General features: G+C 40.1%; 1 protein-coding gene across 7 annotated transcripts in view, besides 1 other annotated feature; it reads right to left on the bottom strand.

The window, feature by feature from the left end:
* The window catches only part of NR1H4 (nuclear receptor subfamily 1 group H member 4), a 90549-nt gene extending 84515 nt beyond the window's left edge, over nucleotides 1-6034 (bottom strand). For all 7 annotated transcript variants that reach the window (NR_135146.2, NM_001206977.2, XM_047429943.1 and 4 more), the window contains exon 1: nucleotides 5841-6034. The gene's annotated coding sequence lies outside the window, so the exon portion shown is untranslated. The remainder of the gene's footprint in view (nucleotides 1-5840) is intronic.
* Nucleotides 16362-16562: a silencer, noted in NCBI's record as "peak1912 fragment used in MPRA reporter construct". NCBI's record gives its function as "represses an SCP1 promoter by STARR-seq MPRAs in K562 erythroleukemia cells {active_cell/tissue: K562}" and the evidence as "EXISTENCE:reporter gene assay evidence [ECO:0000049][PMID:32103011]".

The raw sequence follows: 22557 nt of genomic DNA, 5'->3' as shown, positions 1-22557 counted from the left end.
AAGGACAAGAATGAGTAAGTCATACAAAGGGAAAATAAGTTCAGGCAGAGTGATCAGCAAAAGCAAAGGGCCTGGGCTTGGAGTGTTGGAAGAACAACACAAGCCCAGTGAGGCTGGAAATGAGTGAGCCAAGGAGGGGCTATAGGAAATGAGGTCTGAGAGTAGGCAGCTCTTGTATGGCCTGTTGGCCATGGTAAGGAGTTTGGATTTTCTTCTAAATGGAAGTAATTGATGAGTTTTAAACAAGGGTATAGTGAGGAGAATGAGGGAAATCTTTCTGAGCGTGGAGGGTTGATTCTTGAACTTAGTCTTGAAGGAATAGGCATTAGGCTAGGAAAATGACACGCAACAGGGATGGCTATAGGAAGGGAAAATAGCATGCTGTGTTCTGAGCAACCCTAAATAGTTGTCTATGCTGTAGCTAGTGGACTCAGCTCAAATCAGTGGAAGAAGGATGACCTATTCAAGAAATTGTGGCAAGAAAATTGCCTATGCTTTGAGGGTAAAAATAAAGACATCTTTATGAATCATTCTTGGAAAATACATCTCAGATGGATTAAAGACTGAAAATTATAAAATTATTGGGAGAAAATATATTTATGATCTTTATGGATTTGGGGATTGAGAAGGACTTTATTAAATAAGAAGTAAATAGGAAAAGAATACATTTGAGAACGTTGAAATGTAAGACAGAGGTTAAGGCATCACAAACAAAGCTAAATATATAAAAATGGATAAAAATATTTACAACATAAATAACACCAAAAATATTAGTACAAACAATATATAAACGATTCCTATAAATAAAAACAGAAAGGATAAACAACCCAAGAGAGAAATTGGCAAAGGATACAAAAAGGAAATTCACCAAAGTGGAAACACAAGTGGCCAGTAAACACAGAAAATATCTGAAACTAATAATAATTAGGAAAATGGATATTACTATAACTAAATACCATTTTCACCTATGAGATTATCAAAAAATTTTAACTTTGATAATATTCAAAGTGTATGAAAATATGCATTCTCACATATTGCTAGTGGGGGCATAGGTTTTAGTCTTTTTGGAGGGCTCTTTAGCAGTGTATCTTAAAATAAAGTGCAATTTTAATTCCTAGGTATCTTTCCTGGAGAAATCTTTGCTGGTATGCACCAGGATGTTCATTGTAGCATTGCCTCTAATGCAGAAAGAGGGCAAACCACCTAAAAAACCATCAACAGTGGAATGGCTAAATGAACTGTGCTCTATAGTATCAACTATTAGGAAGTGGTTAAACAAGATTAAAGTGTTTTGATATGTATTAACATTGAAACAGTGAAGTAGAGGAGAATAGGGCTAGGGGAAGGTCAAAAAATATTTTAGACTTATTCATAATGTTGAAACTTTTAACACAATGACTACATTAAGATATGTCAGTCTCCTAGGGTATCATTTCCTGTCCTCAACTTTGCCAATTATATAATCAGATGCTATAAGCAGGTATATTTAGATTCTCCAGAAAAGAAGGGTTTGCTTCATTTTCTTAAAACAATTTTAGGATTGTGCAGCATTTTTGAGCTTCAACAAAAATTATAAACCTCTCTCTAGGAAAGACATACACAAAATACAGATATTTTTCTAAATTAATAAATGTTTAGGAGAAATTTTATGTTCACTATAAAATTGAACAAAATGTATGGAGAGCCTCCATATACGTCTTCTCCCCCACCCCCCACACACATGCACAGCCTCCTTTACTTTCAACAACCAGCACCAGAGTGGCACATTTTTTTACAATCGATGAACCTATGCTGACACATCTTTATCAGCGAAGGACTATAGTTTACATTAGGGCTCAATCTTGGTGTTGTGTATTCTATGGGTCTTGACAAGTGTATAATAACATGTACCCACCATTGGTAATATCATATAGAATGAATTCACTGCCCTAAAAATTCTCTGTAAAATGCATAGATTTTTAAATGTAGTCTTAAGTGACCCTGGCCCCCTGAAGCCCAGCTATAGCCTCAGATTCAGAGTCGGGACTCCAGGAGAGCAAGAATCTTTTACATGACCACTTTGGAATGACATTTCTTTGTCCTGTCTCTGCCCTGCAAATTCTGGATGGCAACCAGCTTTTGCTCCTTAAGCCCCAGGCTGGTATCAACTTGTCGTCTACACTGGCAGCTTCCATAACTCTCTAGGACATGGCAGCAAATAGCTCTCTGCTTAGGAACAGTCACAGCCCAGAGCAGTGTTTTTGTTTTCTCTAATCAGCAACATCCCACAGCAGGACTATCTTCTCCATGCACAACTACATTATTTACCATGTTTTCCAGATAACTGTGTTAAATATATCTACAGGACTTGAAAATGCAAAGCCATACCATTTCTCCTTTTCTTTACATTAATAACATTAATTAAAGTGTAATAGACCCAGGTTGTCTCAGGTTCATTGAGACCTGGGAAAGGTCATCTAAATCTCTTTAAAATGGGAAGCAAAATCTCAAAGTTTTGTTAGGATTTTATATTAAAAAATGAAAATTAATAAAAATTTATTTTATATTTATACTTATTTATTTTAATCACCAGAACCCTGTTATATTTCTTAATCCTAACAAAGAATAAATCTTATTTTTTTTCCTGTGCAATATTTGCAATTTTACTTTGCAATCAAGTTGCATTATATTAGTGTCATCTTATCACCAATTTACAAAGCAGAGAGAGTAGGAATAGTAGATGTTCTTTTATGGCCAAAATTGGAAATGGGCAAACTGAGGGAGAAAATAATTCACTGTGAAGAGCAAAGGGGTTAGGGGATTCCAGAGCAGGGTGAGAGAAGGGAGAGAAAAGACAGAAGGATGAATATTTGTATGTAATAATGATTTTTGCCTCCTCATACAGCTTGGTGACTAAGGACACTCGTATGGTGATGCCTTTTAGCTACATCTTCACTGGTAGAAACTACTGTGACAATAAAAAAATACCTGGGAGGAAAATTGTTCCTATTTCTTATTTTTTAAAAAAAATTTTGAGGTGGTGTCTCTCTATGTTACCCAGGCTAGAGTATAGTGGCATTATCATAGCTCACTGCAGCCTTGAACTCCTGAGCTCAAGCAATCCTTCCACCTCAGCCGCCCGAGCTGCTGGGATCACAGGCACTCATCACTGTATCTAGCTTGTTCCTATTTTCTTTTATTCCCCTTTATAATCTGTGTTGCTAGAGACTAAGATAAAAATGAGACTGAGAGCAAAGGGAAGGGAAATCTCTTTCTATGAAGTAAAGAACCTTTTCTGTCCTTTATGCACCCACCTAATGACAATGTGAGCCTTTGAAAATCTATCACATCATGATATGCATTCTCATGGCATTCATAATCCAGAGACTGTGAGCCACAGCAGTTCTGAGCTCCTCTCTAAGATGTCCCTAATCACAGCAGCATGGAGAGTTCATTGTGGTCTTTAATTAAAACGCTGATAACGGAAATATTCACCCAGCTATCTTAGACTGGTCTCTGGGTTAAAACAAATAGTGCTCCAAACTTTCCAGTTTCCCTACTGATGGTGCAATCTCTCGAAAATGCCCTATGCAGGAGGTTTCAGGAAACGTCTAACTAGTTCCTGGGTTTAACAAATCACCCCTGTCAGGCTGGAATGCTTAACGGCTGGTCCCCCCTCGCCGCTCCCCGATCATTCCCCATTTCAAGTTTTCCCAGCCTCCGCCAATAGCCAATATCAGAGTAGCCAGGAAGAGGCTTTGGAGTCAGAAAGACCCGCCCTCAAGTTCAGGTCCCGCTACTTCCTAACTATCTGCCTGTGGACGGGTCACTTGTATTTTTTGAGTCTCAGTTTTCTCATCTGTAAAATGAGTATAAGAAAAACTCCTGGCTGGGCGCAGTGGCTCACGCCTGTAATCCTAGCACTCTGGGAAGCCGAGGCGGGCGGATCACCTGAGGTCAAGAGTTCGAGACCAGTCTGGCCAACATAGTGAAACCCCGTCTCTACTAAAAATACAAAAAATAGTGGCATGGTGGTGCACGCCTGTAGTACCAGCTACTCAGGAGGCTGAGGCAGGAGAATCGCTTGAACCCGGGAGGTGGAGGCTGCAGTGAGCCGATATAGCGCCACTGCACTCCAGCCTGGGAGACAGAGCGAGACTTTGTCTCAAAAAAATAATAATAAAAAGTAAAGAAAAACTCCCATACAGGGTTTTTGTGAGAAGGAAACAGGCGAATGAAGTAAAGGCTAGGACATGTTAGTAGACATTGTAGAAAAGTTAGCTCCATCACACACTCATACATACACACATTTCTTTTCTTTTCCTTGCAGAGTACAAAGGCCTCACAACCAATGGATATTCCATTGCAATTGGCCCAATCTTGAAGAGGTGGAAACAAGAGGAAGGACAAGGATTCCATGACTTTCCCTCTCCAGCTGTGAGGAGAGGGCAGAGGTACGTGGTGGGAAATTGCTGCAAATCTTGAGGAAGGGTCTCAGGACAAGAGAGCTTTGTCCCTGGCCAGTACTTTATCAGTTAACCAGGAGTTGCATCAGTATTTGTTGCAACATCCTCAGAAAACAGAAAAGTCCACGGTACAAATGGCACAGATCCATAATTTGGAGGACTGGGGGTAGGAACGTAACACAAAGATAAAAGTGTCTATCATTTTATAAAATCACAGCTAGAAACAAAATGGTAGCTCCCTGAACATCTTTTCCTCTCTTCTCCCTTCCTTTTTTTAGGAACAGAAAAAAAAATTTAGATAGATAGATAGATAGATAGATAGATAGATAGGTAAACCACTTTACTGAGGTGTGACTGACATATAAAAGCTTTACATATTCCATGTATACACTTTGATGAGTCTGGGGATAGGCATACACTCATTAAATCATCACCACAATCTATACCATAAACCTATCCATCACCTCCAAAAGTTTCTTCCTGCCTTCTTATTTATCACTAATATTATTTCTAAGGGTTCCTACCCCTCTTGTCAATACTCCTGAAGTGATTCTAAGACAGCACCAGAAACAGCATCAGATTTCTTTATAGCTCAAAGCTCAGGTGTGAGTTTCTTAGAGGAAGAATTCAAGGTGAGTCACTTGTCATTCCCTCCTGCCCCTCCCTTCTGAATAAAAACCCAATTAAAAGAAGTAAGTCAGGCTCCACAGTTGCCCCATTCACTCTGTCAATAAGGAGACAAAGAGGTATCTTATCTATAAATTTAGTCCTTGGACAATTTTATTACTAAAGTTCTTCGTCATACTCACATTTCTATCTTTTAAAAATATTTCCATCTGATATTTCCTGTCATATTAATATTCAAAATGGAAAGCAATAGAAGAGTTTACAACTGAAGTCAAGAAAGAAGACTTTTTCCACCTACTCTTCTTCTAGGGAAAAATTTCATTTCAATTAAGCATAGGTTAAATGTCTTATTCTTAGTTCCCAAGTCATCTGACATTAGCAATACTCCCAAACTCACATCAAGATTTGATAAATCACCAAAATATAGCACACTATACAAGTCAAATTGTTTATGGAATCAGAACGGAGACATTTCTGAAATGCACTATCTCCAGTGATTTACTCAGGTGACCACAATGTTAAAAGAGTATTTCTAAATAAGTTTTCAATAGGTAAGCAACTGTTAAGACTCATTAACTTTTGCTTCTGCTTCTTTTTGTTTTTTAGTTTCTCTCTTTTTTAATTTTCAGGACTTTACATCAAACTCTACTAACTTAGAATTCATTTATTGACATACATTACAGATGTCAAAGAGAAACTTTTAAGTGACTATTTTTTCTCTGTTGCTGTGAGATACACAACCCACTCCCAAAGGAATTAGGTACTTACTTGGATTGTTTTGGGTCAGAGATGGACTTTCAAGGCCCTGGGAGGATTCTGGACTGAGTCTTCCTCTCCAGATCCCAGCGATTTTGCTACAAATGCTCAGAATCCAATTTCGCATTAGGATAAGTCGGGGAGACAATGAGGTGAGGAGGAGGAGAGAGTTCCAGTGTACTGTGCATGATCACAGGCGGCCTTCTGGGCTAGCAGCAGCATCTCTTCCTTGGCTCTGTGCCTCATGGACACAGATTAGTCATTAACAATCCTTCCCTGCTAAATGATATAAACATAGAAAGGAACCTTGGGAGAGCCTCGAGATTCCCAAGACAAAACCGCAAAGCCCCAGAATGAGGAATGTGACAAAACCAAGGAGCCCTGCAGCTTGCCTTTGAAAGCATTTCTCCTCTGGCCGTTTTGTGGGCTCCTGGGCACCCGTATTTCTGTACACATCAACTAAAACCAAACTGTCATCTTCCCTCTCTCTCACTACAACTTCTTTGAATAGCTCTATCACTTCCCCGGGACTGAACTAGAAGCTGGGAGCCTTTTTGACCCTTCCCTCTGCCCAGCCACCCATATCAAATAATAACAGATTTGGGTTGATTGCATCTTTGGAATGTCTCTTATTTCCAACCCACATTGTTCTTCTCCTACTTTGGGCCTATCATAGCTTCCTTTCTGGATGACATTGGTCCCACAACCCCTTTTTCTTCTCTCCCCTTCTTCTGTTTTCCAAATTGCACAGCAGTGTGGAAGCACAGGCTCTGGTTAGATGCCCACTCTTTAGTCACAGCCTTGAGCAAGACACTTAGCCTCTCTGAGTCTCAGTTTCCTCATCTGTAGAATGGATATGGAGAAACCATCTCATGGGCTGTGGTGAGAATTACATGAGTAGTGAAAATGTTTAGAAAAGTGTGTGGCAGATAGCAATCACCCAATAATTTGTGGCAATTATTATTTCTCTCCTTCATTAGTTGAACCATCATTGATTGATTATCAGCCTACTATGTACCCAGCAACTTGCTAGGCACTCCCCTCATCGAAAATCCCCAATGCACTCTCTATGCCTAAAAAACGAACACAAAATGCTTGACATTTAGAACCCCTTCCACACCTGAAGATCTAGCCCTAATGTCTCTAGGATTTTCTCACATTCTGTCCCTTCAGACATCCCAACCTCTGCCAACCTGTACCAAGCTCTCCCGCCTCCACACTTTTGCACAAGCTCTTCCTTCTACCTCAGTTACTTTCTTTTCACACCCACACATCTTCCAGGCGTGGAACAGAAGCAGAGTTCTCCCTGAAGCCAGCCCCATTCCTCATCTGCCCCTATTCTCCCCACCCAACTCCCTTGATCTTTTATTTGTAGTTTCCTTGCTGTCCCTTAAATCCTCTGACCTTATATATTATAGTTTTCTACTTGTTTTATCTCTTTTACAAAAACCAGGCATGGTAGCAGACTTGTCTTTGTATCTACCCTTTGTCTTAGCACAGTGCCTCTCACAGAAAAAGCATTGTGTAACTCTTTGTTAACGCAATCAATGAGTGAGCTGAGAAACAACTTCCCAAAGCAGCATGGCTGCACATGCACCTGTGTGTGTGTGTGTGTGTGTGTGTGTATGTGATGTGTGCATTTCCCATCTGTGATGTGTGTCATTTGTTTCCCGTCACAAGGTCAGCTAGTAGAAGATCTACATTCAAACCTGTTAGAAATGTTATATTTTGCTTCTCTTATAAAATAGCATTTTTGTAGGTCCTACAGGCTCCTACTTCCTACCTACTTCTGGGGGTTCCCAATGTACTATGGTGCATCCTCCAGCCCCTTCGGCACAAGGAAGAGGGTCACCCCAGGCCTGTACATTTTCTTTTGAAGAGAGTTTGCACTGACACTTACTGCACTCTGCAGCTCTGGGCTGCCTGAGGGACTCCTGTGTGACTTCTATGTGACACCAAGCCCATTTCTTCTTGGATGATAAGAGCCTGTACTGTGATTTCATTCTCTCCAGCAGAGATGGAGACAATGACTGAAGACACAGACTGTGGCGCTGGACCGGCTGGGTTCAAATCCCAGCTCTGCCACTTACAAGCTGTGTGACCTTAGACCTTAGGCTTTTCCTTAACATCTGTCTCAGTTTCCCCATCTGTAAAATAAAGATATAATTACTATGTATTTCATGAGGTTATTGCAAGGATTTAATGAATTAATCTATGCAAAGCGCTGGTACCTGACACACAGAAAGTGCTGTGTAGGGGTTAGCTGTTATTATTTTCTCTGGGCCTTCACACTGACAATCGTATTTGCCCACTGGACTGGATACTCCCTGAGGGTGGCATGTATTTCCCATCCTTTTGGATCTCCAGTGGTGTAGCACATAGTGCTGGGTATGACATAAGAGCCCATTCAAAAATTTCAACAATTATTTTTCTTCTCTTCACACCACACAATCAATCCATTAGAAAATGTTTAAGTTTTACCTTCACAATATATGTATTGAATCTGATACCTTCCCACCACCTCCACTGTCATCTCTCTGGTCCATGCCAGGTTTCTTGCACCTGGGTTTGTGCCATGGCCTCCTAAGTGGCCTCCTTATTTCCATGCTTGCACTCTGTCATTTGTTCCCAGCATGGCAGCCAGAGTGATCCTACCAAAACCAAAGGATCATGTCGTTCTTTTGCTCAAAACCCCCACAGGCTTTCATCTCTCTCAGAGTAATGGCCAAACTTCTTACAGTGACCCCAAGGATCTAAATGACCCTGAATCCTACCCCATCCCAACATAGCTCTAACTTCATCTATCACTCACGCCGGTCATGAGGCCTCCTTGTTGTTCTCTGAACTCATAAAGCACATTCTCTCCCCAGGGCCCCTGTACTTTCTGTTCCATAGCCTGGATTGATTTTTGCCCAGAGACCTTCCATTGCATGCTACAGGTTTCTACTCACCTTACCAGAGAGGCCTTTCCTGGACACACCAAATACAATGCCATTTCTCTTCCCAGTACAGGATATCACTTCTCATTTCTCATTCCTTTTTTTGTTTGTTTGTTTTTGGAGACACAGTCTGGCTCTATCACCTAGGCTGGAGAGCAGTGGCATGATCTTGGCTCACTGCAACCTCAGCATTTCGGGTTCAAGCGGTTCTCCTGCCTCGGCCTCCCGAGTAGCTGAGACTACATGCACGTGCCGCCACACCCAGCTAATTTTTTGTATTTAGTAGAGATGGAGTTTCGCTATGTTGCCCAGGCTTGTCTCAAACTCCTAAGCTCAAGCGATCTTCCCGCCTCAGCCTCCCAAAGTGCTGGAATTACAGGCGTAAGCCACCGCACCTGGCCTCTCTTCTCATTCTTACCTTGCTTTATTTTACCCTGTAGCACTAAGCACTGAGCACCACTTAGCATACATGGACATGTTTCATGTCTCTCTCACTATATGGAACATAAATAGATGATTACACCTATCTTGTTCACCACTGTGTCCCTGATAACTGGATGCCCCAGGCAATGTGCTAGTGCTGAGTAGGAGAGACCCAAAACCCAAGCTCTGAAAGCTCACCATCCCATGAACAAGGGACACTCAGCAAAATAATAACAGCAATAACCATAACAATAAAGTAAATCATATAAAGAATGAATAACATTCACTTGTGTTATGTGATAAGATGGAAAAGTTCAGGGTGTCATAAAATACTCTCCATTAATCATAACAAACAGAAAATGTGCTCTCTATTCATGGGATTAATTCTAACTAGCACAGAAAGAAAGAAGGGGAAAAGGAACAAGCATTTACTGAGCAGCTAATATTTTCCAAACAGTCTGTTAAGCACTGGCAAATCAGCAGTGAACAAAATGATATGGTTCCTGCAGTCATGCAATTTACAGCCTAGTGTGAGAGACAGACAATTAATAAAAACTACACAGACAATCTTATAAGTTCTCTTGTGACAGCATGTTATGAAGGAGAAGCACAGGGTTCTGCGACTGTATTTATCAGGGAGCCCTCACCATGTCAGAGGGGTTTAGAAAGGCTTCCTCTAAGAAAGTGATGTTTTAGCTAAGATGGAAGGATCTCTGATGTGTTGGGAGTGAAAGGTGTTGAGAAGGAAAAAAAGGAGCATTTCAGGGTAAGGAAAAGACAGCAGCAAAGGCTCTGAGACAGGAGAGAGGTTGGAGAATCCCATTAAATAAAGAGAAGGACAATGTCTTTCAAGGAAGAATGTGGGGGAGGAACAAAGAAATCGGGATAGAACAGGAGGTGGGAGCAGTGGTGTGCTGGTAGGTGATTAACAACCAGTTCTCAGAGAGGTGGGTGAATATATACATATAAACATTTATTTTAAATTTTACTGATAGAACAGGTAAGTAACACATGTTTTACAAATAATAATAAATATACAGTTTCTGTATATTGTAAATTCCATGTAGCCAGTGAGTCAACTGGGATGTTTTCATTGAGTTTTGCTGAACTCTTGTATTGATAGCCAACTTATGGTTGCCGTTCAACCATGGTTTGACAAATGGAATCGCATTCCAGACCACTAATCCTTTCTCCAATATAAATATCGTACTGAAATGTTATATGTGATCTACTGTTAAACTATGATTTTCACACAAATTATTTTTGTTAAACTGAACCCTCTTTGAGTTCCACCTTTACGTATGTTGGAAATTCACTTGTTCGTTGGTGACGTGAGTAGCTTCTTTGCTGAATCAAATAATAGTTTTCATATACTGGAAACTGTTCTTTCATATACCGAAGAACATTTCTTCAGTATTGTGTGTGTTCTTCACAATGTAACAGCTACTAACATGAAGCTCTTTTAAGTTTAATCTGCTTTGTTAACAGTTTCTTTATCACTAAGACTAAGGGTCAACAAACATTTTCTTTAAGGGGCGAAAAAGTAAATATCTTAGGCTTTGCAGACCACATCTAGTCTCTGTTATGTTTTACAATCCTCTAAAAATGCAGAACTTCTTAGCTTGAGGGCTGTATATAAACATCCACGGGCCAAATTTTGCCCACTGACCTTAATTTGCCAACTCCTTAGACCAGTAGCTCTCAATGGAGAGAAGGAGCAATTCTGCTCCCCAAGGCATATTTGGCAATATCTGGACACAGTTGTGGTTGTCACAACTTAAAGGGAGTGTCATTTAGTAAGGAGAGGCCAGAATGCTGCTAAATATCCTACAATGCACAGCTTCTCCCTCCACAACCAAGAATTATGCAGCCCCAAATGTCAATAGTGCCAAAGTTGAACAGGCCTGCCTTAGACAATAGATAATACAATAAATGAGGTCTTGATTTGTAAATTTTTTTGTGTTGTAAATATTCTAGTTGTGGCCACTTTCAAACTACCAATGTAAAGTCACCTAACAATGGACTTGCGGAGAATGCAAACTGGCACACCATTATACGCCACCACACAGATGCACTAGGCATAAATAACCACAAGAGCATAGACGATCGTAAAATAGCAAAATAATTAGGGCATGGTAAGTTTTGAGTATTTATTACTTTTGTTTGTTTTAATGTCTTTAATTATAAGTTTATATAATTTAATTTTTGATAAGGGCTATGTTTAACAACAACCAGCTCAGAATGCCCTGAAAGTTTAACAGTTGACTCTCATGAACCAGGGTAAGCTGGCTCCAGGGCAGCACTGGGAGAAAGAAAGCTTCTTTCACTTAGTCCTTACAAGTTAGGAGCTAGACAGTATTATCTTCCTTTAACAAATGAGGAGACTAAGCCTGAGAGATTCAGGCAAAGAGACAAAGACTTATGCAAAAGAGACAAATCAGGGGCTTTAAATACAGGTTTGTTTTCTCCAAAGCTGATAGTCTTTACCCTATCCTGTACTCCACTATCAACCCAGGGAAAGTGAGATCAAAATATTTATTCTGTGAAATGCTTATCAGTACTGGGACATTTTAATTAATTGCTGAATAAAATAGGGATAGAAGTCATTATCATATTGTTAGTGATCAACTCTGGTATATTATTACAAATATAACAGAAAGGCCATCCTGCCAAAAAAGATTTGCATCCATAGAAATTATTATTTTTATTAATATTTTGACTTCCTTGCCCTTTCCAGGATTCTCTCTTTTCAGTTAAACATCTGCACTCCTCACCTCTCCTGTTCAGTGAATTAGTTCACAACAGGTCAGGAACTGTAAGATCCTGAAACAAACAGGAAACAAAACAGCCAAACTTTGAATACTGGTATATCAAGGGAGGGGTCTATGCCAGACTCTGAGGCCTGAGTGAGCACTACAGTCAGAGTACAGTGTCAGGGCATTCAACTTCACAAACGGTGGCCACGAAGGGGACACTGAAATGAACAAGGAGAGAGAAAGAGAAAGAGCATGGATAATCCAACTGGCCTCTGTCCCCACTGGCTCAGGCTTGGCTGTGAGTGTGAGTCTTTGTCCCAACATGGAATCAATCTGTTGGAAAGTGCTTGGTGGCTGAGCCTTTAATAACTTCTTTTTTCTTATTAGACGCCACAACCCTCCAGAAACTGAGTTCTCAGAACCAGACAAAATTTCCAAGACCTAAAGGTAACATGGTAGGGGTGGTGTTGAAAGCATGGACGTTAGGGTCAGGGGCCTGGGTCTGAACTCTGGGTCTGATCATGTGACCTTGGGCAAGTCAATCTCTGGGACCTTAGTTTCTTCGTACAAAAAATATATATAATAGAAGGGAATGAATTCCTATGTCATAGGGTTATTGTAAGGATCCACCTGAAATATCACATGAGAATGTGTGGTAAAAAACATTGAAGAGAAGAAAATGGCATACCCCACTAGATATGAAATCTTCCAGAAGCTAGTAGCCATATGGGAGCCCCATCCACCCCTGCAGTCAGCTGAGTTTTTTTCTTTGTTTGTTTTTGAGACAGTCTTGCTCTGTCACCTAGGCTGGAGTGCAGTGGCATGACCATAGCTCACTGTGATCTCGAACTCCTGGGCTCAAGCAATCCTCCTGCCTCAGCCTCCCAAGTAGCAGCTGCGACTACAGGTCTGTGCCACCATGACTGGCTATTTTTTTTATTTTTTGTTGACAATTTTTTTTTTTTTTTAGATGGAATCTCACTCTGTCGCCCAGGCTGGAGTGCAATGGCATGATCTCGGCTCACTGCAACCTCCCTCTGTCACCCAGGGTCAAGCGATTCTCTTGCCTCAGCCTCCTGAGTAGCTGGGATTACAGGCATGCACCACCACGCCAAATTTTTGTATTTTTAGTAGAGACGGGGTTTCACCATGTTAGTCAGGCTGGTCTCGAACTCCTGACCTCATGATCTGCCCGCCTCGGCCTCCTGAACTGCTGGGATTACAGGTGTGAGCCACCGCACACGGCCCTTGTTGGTAATTTTTAAGTTTTTTGTTACCCAGGCTGGTCTCAAACTCCTGGCCTCAACAGATCTTCCTGCCTCAGGCTCCCAAAGCACTGGGATTACAGGCGTGAGCCATCACGCTATTTTAAGTGACTGAAATCAACCTATTTTAAGTGACTCACTGAAGTCCCTGGGTCCATGTCGTGGAGAAACTCTTCTACGGACAGATGAAAAATGGAGCTGAAGCTTCATCAGAACTTGGACAGCCAGTGCTAATGATTAGAACCCTTTAAAAAGAAAATATTCACAAACTGCTTTATTGGCTATGTAACCCAAGAGATAAAATGTTACTATATTGTAGTTAGACAGTCTCAAATGAGTTTCTTCACTTATCCTACATCAAATGCATGTTGCTTTCATTATCTTCCCTGCCCCACTCTTCTTTTTAGAGGAGCCCTATATTGGTTATTTTTTTAAATTAAATAAGTCATTTAAATTTAAATTATACAATGGTCATTGTAGAAAGATTAGAAAGTATAGAAAATCAAAAAGAAGAAAATAAAATTCCCCCATAATCTTACAACCCATATGTTATGGACTGAATTGTATCTCCCCAAAATTCACAGGTTGAAGCCCTAATCTCAAATGTGATCACAGTTGGAGATAGGGCCTTTGAGAAGATAATTATGATTAAATTAGGTCATAAGGATTGGACCCTAATCCAATAGGACTGGTGTCTTTATAAGAAAAGGAACACCTACTGGAAGTTTGCATGCACAGAGGAAAGACCATGTGAAGACACAGCAAGAAGTTGGCCATCTTCAAGCCAAGGAGAGAAGCCCCAGGAGAAAACAAACCTAACAACACCTTGAGCTTGGACTTCCAGACTCCAGAACTGTAAGAAATAAATGTCTACTGTTTAAGCCACCCTGTCTGTGGTATTTTGTTATGGCCGTCCTAGTAGACTAATACACCATAGATTCACAGAATACACTGTTAATAGTTGATATGTTTTCTTCTAAATGTTTAAACACAATTTTTTTTTTTTTGAGAAATAGTGTTACTCTGCTACCTAGGCTAGAGTGCAGTGGTGCAATCTCAGCTCACTGCAACCTCCACCTCATGGGTTCAACTAATTCTCCCACCTCAACCTCCCTAGTAGCTGAGAATATAGGCATGCACCACCACACCTAGCTAATTTTTGAATTTTTAGTAGAGATGGGGTTTCACCATGTTGGCCAGGCTGGTCTCGAACTCCTGACTTCAAGTGATCCACCCACCTTGGCCTCCCAAAGTGCTGGGATTACAGATGTGAGCCACCATGGCCAGCCTTAAATGCATATAAATTTATATAAATCCTCATCTTTTTCATACTGACAGTATGTACTGTTCTGTATCCGCTTTCCTCAATTAATATATCATAAATATTTTTATCACTAAAACTTTCATTACATATATGACTTAATGGCAGTACATTCAATTCATAGATATAGGCCCTCCTTTAACTAATTCTCAACTCTTGACATTTAAGTTGTTTCCAGTTTTCCTCCATTATATAAATGATATTGCATTGATCATCCTTTGTAGCTAAGTCTTTGTCTACATCAATGATTATTTCCTTGGCCTGATTTTTAAAGGTGGAATCGCTGAGTCAGAGTGAACACATTTTTAAGACTCTACGGTAAACTTACAGTAAACTTAACAAATTACTTTTAGAAAGATTGTTCCAATTTAGATTCCCCTATTAGAGTTCAAATATGTCTATTTCTTGCCCTATTACCAGCACATCTGGGCCTTGGTGGTTCTTATTCTAGAAGAGGCTTTCTGTGAAATGTCCTCAGGCTTCACCCACCACTCCCAGCAGATAAGCAACATAGACATTCAAGCAGTATTTTTTGAACTGTGTGATATGACCCATTAGTGGTTCATAAAATCAGTGTAGGGGGTCATGACTGGCACTTGTTTGTTTTCAATGAAATGGTATGTAAAAGAATAGCAGAGCAAATATTTGCATTGCAAGTAAAAACACCCATTAATGGAGCTTTTATTTACTTGTATATGTGTGTGTTGATGAGACCTAGATTTCAAGGTAACACTGTCGTAAGGTCACAGTTTAGAAAGTTTGAAAAGTACTGGTGAGTCAAAAGTTCATTGAATTGGGGCCCAAAAGACTTGAATTCTGGGCCTAATTTGAAGGGGAAGGAAGGCACACAAAATTAGCTACTAAAAAATATATACCATAAGTTATGGTTTATAATAGAGGAAATTATAAATTTCAGGGCATGGAAAATAATCTGCACCTCCCTTCTCCATGTATTTTAGTCATATTACATCTATGATTGTAGATCTGGCTCTGCCTCTCCCTGGTTTTGTTTAATATTCTGCAGTCATCATTTGAAATTGTTAATAATTTTAAACAAGAGGTCCTATATTTTTGCTTTGCATTGAGCCCCCACAAATTATGTAGCCATTCTTATCCATTAATTCAGACAACATGCCATCTTCCTGACAGAAAAGTGGAATTCATTTCTTTGGCAATGCTGAGAGCTGAAGCAAGAACTCTCAACCTTGGTGGATAAGGTAGGAGCTGCTTTGAGGGTTTATGACATACACTATTGCAAGGAATCAGCTGTGCCCTAGACCACACACAAGGCAATCTGTAGCTGTTAAGAAATTTTGTTCTGCCCAAGGCTTGTGTTCAATTGCTTCAGTCCCAGCTGGAATAGATCGTCCAAACTGCATTCAACTCTTATAAAAAAAAGTCTTAAAATAGGATGGCCCACTTAATACCATGTGCTGCTATATGGGTTAATTGGATGTGAAACATTCACAGCAGGTCCTCAATAAAAGATACAATAGAAAGATGAAGGTCACTGTTGGGCCTGAGTGCTATATTATGTCCAACCAGCATTGAAAACCCAAAGGTTGCTAAATGATTAATAGGTAGATCAAAATACCACATTTGGGGATATGGCCTGTTTTATATTTGGAAAAGCCCCCATCTATTTGTGAAATCTAGCTGATAGCTCAATAGTAAACTATCTTTCTTCAACAGAGATAAAGCTACTTATCATCAAAAACGTGTGAAGTTAGAGCTTTCCCAGTGATGGTAATAACATGTTTACACTATTCTTTGTGTGCTTCAGGGGCTGGGAATAGGTCGTAAATATGGAGCAAAGTCAGATATGATGACAATCAGAATACTGGCCTCCTTAGAAATGAGTCTGAAACAGAGGAGCCAACCAAGTACTTAACCACAGGAGCCAATCAGTCTTTACACACAGAACAAGGGTTTATCAAGCATCTTCCACTCAAAGGCTTTGAACACCCTTTGCAGAATTCCCTAATCAGACATGGTTCATGTGAGTTTTCTCTCTCCTCTGTGCTCTCAAAGCACCCCATGCTCACCCTCTCAAATTATTTTTTATTCTTTATTGTGAATGTTAATTTTTTTACCTGTCTTCTTCACTAGTTTGCAAGTTCTTTGAAGGTAAATACTGTGTTATTGTTTGTTTTTTTTGTTTTTTTTTTTAATCTCTGTATCCTTAGTCCTGGAACAGCAAACAGCACTAAGCCTGCTGTAGGTGCTCGATAAATTTGTATAGTTAAGTAAAAGAACAAATGGCATATGATATATAAAGAACTCCTACAAATCAATATAAAAAAGGCCAACAACACAAAAGTGAAATGGGTGAAGCATATAAGAAGGCAGTACACAGAAAAGGAAATGTAAAGGACTGTTAAACACATAAAAGGACATTAAAACTCAATCATAATATGAACCATAATAAAAGACAAAAAAGAAAATGTGTAAATGGCTGTTAAATCTTTTTTTTTTTTTTTTTGACAGTCTTGCTCTTTCGCCCAGGCTGGAGTGCAGTGGTGTGATCTCAGCTCACTGCAACCTCCGCTTCCCGGGTTCAAGCGATTCTCATACCTCAGCCTCTCGAGTACTTGGGACTACAGGCACACACCACCACGCCTGACAACTTTTTTTGTATTTTCGGTAGAGACGGGGTTTTGCCATGTTGGCCAGGCTGATCTGGAACTCCTGGCCTCAGGCAATCCATCTGCCTTGGCCTCCCAAAGTGCTGGGACTACAAGCGTGAGCCACTGTGCCCAGCCTAAATGGCTGTTAAGTCTCAATCACAATAAGAGAAATGCAAACCACACTGAGGTATCATTTTTCACCTATTAGATGGGCAAAGATAAAAAGAAGCTCTACCCACATATATTGCTGGAAATTAGGCAAATTGGTACGATCTCCAAGGAGGACAAATTGCAAGTGTTTATAACCTTCGACTTAGCAATTCCACTTCCCAGAATTTATCCTAAAAGATAATATGCACATAAGTATGAAGTGATATGTGAACACATAGCTAACTAACTGCACATGTTCTGGTATGCTCCAGAGCTGGTTGTTAGAAATATTGAAATGCTTGGCCATGCCTGTAATTCCAGCACTTTGGGAGGCCAAGGCAGGTGGATCACCTGAGGTTAGGAGTTCAAGACCAGCCTGGAAAACATGGTGAAACCCTGTCTCTACTAAAAATATAAAAATACAAAAAATACAAAAAAAAAAAATGCATGCCTGTAATCCCAGCTATTCAGGAGGCTGAGGCAGAAGAATCACTTGAACCTGGGAGGCAGAGGTTGCAGTGAACCAAAATCACACCACTGCACTCCAGCCTGGGTGACAGAGCGAGACTCTGTCTCAAAAAAAAAAAAATGCTTATTTATTGATGAGTAAATGCTGCTGTCCTGCCATACGATCCCTCCCCAAGAACCCCTAGCCTTTGCTGCAACCCAGCAAATCAAGAGGTAAATGCCTGTGACCACATGGGACCTCTGGAACCCTGCTTCAGCACTGTGGCCAGCATTATTCTGATTCATCAGTGCCCATTCTGTAATAGCTGTTAAATATTTGGGTATCACTCCTATGTTCAAGGTTATTTACTGCAGCACAGAATGCAATAGCAAAACTTGAGAAATAATCAATAGCTAATGTTTACTGGAGCTTACTATGTGCCATTCACTGTTCTAAGTACTTGACATTGATTAACATATTTAATCCTCACAACAACCCTAAGAGGAGGTACTATTGTAATTGCCAGTTTACAAGTGAGAAAACTGAGGCACAGAGAAGTTAAATAAGTTGTCCAAGATCATATAGCTAATATGTGATCAAGCCAGAATTCTATCAAGGTAGTCTGATTCCAAAGTCTATGTTCCTAAAATCAAAGTCCTTCAGGAGGGACTGATGAAATAAATTAGGGTTTATCCATGGAACAGAGTATTATACAGCCATAAAGAAGATGGAGAAGCTCTATAAATATGATGGAATGGAATAGTCACCAAGCTATACTTCTAATTGAAAATAAAGCACAGAAAACTGTGTGCAGTAGATATCCAGTGTATGGATAATACATATATGTATATGGGTACATATGTATGTGTATATCTATCAAAAATTGGATATGTATCACATATAAATATGTGTATGTATATGTAAAATCACAAAATAGATAAGTGGGATATGCCTGGAATGATATACAAAAAAACTGGTAACACTAGTCACGTGCCTCTAGGGGACAAGGTATTAGGAAAAATGCTTGCTGTGTGTGCCTTTTGTACCTTTTGAATTTTATACCATGTGAAAGTTTTGCCTGTCTAAAAAGTTAAACTACAAATTGATCATAAAAAAGAACAATGTGACACATACATAAAAACTCTGAAGCAGAAAATAAAAAGAGCTTAGAGGGAAATAGAAAAGGCATGTAGCTAGCCAAGGGTGGGCGAGATTCCAAGCTCCTGGTAACCAGGAATTGCTGAGCACTTGAGTAGGGGATTTCAAGGATATTTGGAGGGTGGGGGATGGGCATCCTAAGGGGAGAGGCTGAGTTAGGGAGACTGTGACAAACTTTAACAATAGCCATCCACACATGAGGTGAAGGGCCCTGGAGGCACCCGTGCCCTGTACAATTCCAAGTGGATGCGTGGAAGCCAAGATCTGTGTGCACAGGGGCTCTAAGAGGGGCTGTCAGGGCCCCCAGTGGCTGAATGAGATTAGAAGCCAGGGGAATTCAGAGGAATAGAAACTAGAAGTGCCCAAACCTCATCCTGCCCCCACATCCATTGCTGACAAGGAGCGAAGCTGTGGAGCTATCCCCAAGAAACTGGGCAAAAAAAGAAATAATTGAAGGGTTGGGAGAAAACAGGGCCAAAGAAAAACAGTTCAAGAAGCTGGGATTGTTGGTTCTGAAGGAGGAAAATTATTGTCCCCTACTTGACGACGCATCATTGTTAGTGGGACAGTGACCAGCTGTTCTTGGCCGCCACAAAGGAGACAAAGAGGCAAAGGGCTTCGACTGCAGCATGAGCAATTTAAATTAGACCCAGAGAAAATCTTTCTGTCAGAAAAAAGCTAAGTTGCTAAGCATCGAGGGGACAGATTCTCAGGGAAGATGTGGTATCGCTATCCCTCCCTCCAGATTAGACTTGGGGATGTGGATGTCAATAGGGTTTGAATTCTTCTTCTGCTGGACAAGTCAGTCACCTTGCCTGCCTCCTAGTGTCTTCATCTTAAACTCCGGGAATTAATACCAGCCTCATAAACTTGTCATAAGGACCAAGAGATCCTGTATATAAAGCCTTTAGAACAGGGTCTTATATACAGTAAATTGTCATTAAATAGCAGGTAGTGCCCTTTAGGGCAACAGAGACAGTGGCTATTAGCCATGCTTTTAGGTGATTGAGACAGTTACCTGGGATGGTCTGAAGGTCTCTTTGATTCAAGAAAATATCCCAAGTGCATCATCAATAATGTTATATATATATAATTAGATCTTGACTTTTCTGGAATAAATATTTATGTTATTTATTTTATTTTTTAGAGACAGGGTTTTGCTCTGTCACCCAGGCTGGAGTGCAGTGCCACGATCATGGCTAACTATAGCCTAGAACACGTGGCTTCAAGGGAGCCTCCCACTTCAGCCTCCTGAATAGCTAAGATTGGAATAAACATTAAACCATTCATTTCATCTGCTTTGGTTGTAAGTTCTGGTGTCAGTCATTTTCCCAAAAATCACATTTCTAACAACCTCACTCTCTGGATGCGTATCATACAGAGCAGAGTTTTTCAAAAATTTGGACTATGACTTACAGTAATAACTTTCATATCACAGCACGGTGACACACACATTTGTATACATGTAACTGAAATGAAAGCTTACAAGAAAATACTTAGGCTTTCTATGTGTCACCTATTTTGATATTTTCTATTTTACTCTTTCATTTTTTAAAAACACTTATTCTGACCCACTAGGTTGATTTCAAGAAACAATATTTATCCATATCAGTAAAAGAAGTGCAATTACATTCAAAGTTTTCCTTTTGATGAATATTATGATTTTATTTTATTTATTCTTAAAAGTTTCTTTTAAAAGCTTCTGTGTGTATTTATATACGTGTGTGCACCCCTGCCAGGCAAGTGCCCTGTTTATTCTGCCTTTGAGCTTATCTACCACTTAGTGTTTGAGAGGAAAGATATTCCTAAGACTGGGAAGTGGAAGTAGGTTAGTGAGAATGCGTACTCCACTTTACCTTGGGTAGAGGGGAGGACCTCCAAGGAATAGCTACATGGGGCTTCTAGAAAGATTGGGCGCTACTCCCAGGGATTCCAAGTCCTGCTAAGTATTTGGGCACCCCAAGTGTGGTGCAGAAACCACTGAACTGCAGGGTCCCATGCAGACTGGGACAATGGATAGTCTAATAGAGAACATTATGGATGGTATCCTGTGGTGGGCAAGGTAAGATCTTGACACAACTCTGGAGCAGAATCTTAAATGATGATCAAGATTTATTTTCTAGCCAGCTTAACAGAACAGAAAACGGATTTATTTTTTACCCAGACTTGAATTTCTGGTCTGAGTTTTAAACCTGCCCACTCTTGGTCCTTGGTGGTACTTCTGCAGCTCTGGCTGAAATCTTCCTTCCTGGACCATGCAGACTGTGGCCTTTGAGGGCACTGCTTCTGCCACATCAGAGAAGCTTCTCCCCTGGTCCAGCCCAGCCAATCAGACTCTACCCCTTGAGTATATGCTCCCAGGTTGGTGTCTTACCAGCAAGACTGGGACAATAGGCAAAAGATCTACACCAATTTCTGGGATTTTATGTTTCAGAAATAAACTCATCCTCCTACTACAACGATTCATCATCATCCATCATATTGGGAAGATATAAGACAAGGTAATACTGTGGGGAGACACATCTCACTGTGGGATGATGAATTATTCCAGACATAAGACATTGTCATCCCAGCCTTCTCCTTCCGGTCTCGAGGTGAAGGAAGTGAGTGTGTCTGTATCAGGCTTGAGGATCAGATATTGTGCATGAAGCTGAGAAGAGTGAATGCTTTGTTATTTTATCAAAGTTCGTTTTCAAAGGTTATCCCTCCCTGCTACTGTATTTATCAAAGAGAATCAAATTATCATCAGAACAAGGCCCAGCATTATTTTATAAAGAAAGCTAGATCATTACTCATTGGGTTTTAATTACTGGGTTTAATTTTGTTGATGCCTACTTTAATTTTCTTCTTCTGAAGAAAACTCTTGTATGTTTCTTCCTCAGTAAAATCCCTTCTGATGTTATTATTATATATCTGTGAGTACTACATTCCTGGTTTATTAATATTTTTTCTTAATTGATTTTTAAAATTCAGTTCCAAACACCAGTCTCTATGAATCACTTTGGTAATATCTTCTCTGTAAGTCCATGGCCAAAGATCAAATACAACTAACTGTGAGATTTTTCATTAATGGCTAATTTGTTAAAGTATTGCCATTATAGCATAACATTAAATCATCTATTAGCAAATGTGAATTCCCTGGACTTGATTGCTGAACGCATAATATTGAAAGCAAAGATATTATCTACATGGTAAAATGAGCAAATGTGTCTATAGCAACCACATATGAAGTCTAAAGTTATTATCAGACCTGGACTTCATTGTTTCCCCACTGAGGTGTAAAAAGAAGTAAGATGAAGAAGAGGATTACAAAAACCAAACTGATCTTTAGCAATAGCAGGAAAAGGAATATGTGAATATCAATCAGGCCAGTGAGGGGTGGGGGGTGTTTAGGCCCCTTAGCCCCTTCAAAAACAGAAGTTATCTTCTGGTACAATGTAATATGAGAAGGACTACATTTTCCACACCAGAAACCTTCATGCATAGCGTAATGAGGATGAGTGCAGTTATGGCACAAGCACTGCCTACTTTGCCCTAATTCATCCATTAATTCACTCATTCAATACATATTTATTGAGTCATGTTGCTAGGCCAGCCGCTGGTCATACAACACAAGGCTGATGCATTTTCTATCTTCATGAA

Source organism: Homo sapiens, chromosome 12, assembly GCF_000001405.40.
Source record: "Homo sapiens chromosome 12, GRCh38.p14 Primary Assembly".
NCBI lineage: Eukaryota > Metazoa > Chordata > Mammalia > Primates > Hominidae > Homo > Homo sapiens.
This window is presented reverse-complemented; position numbering and strand designations above follow the sequence as displayed.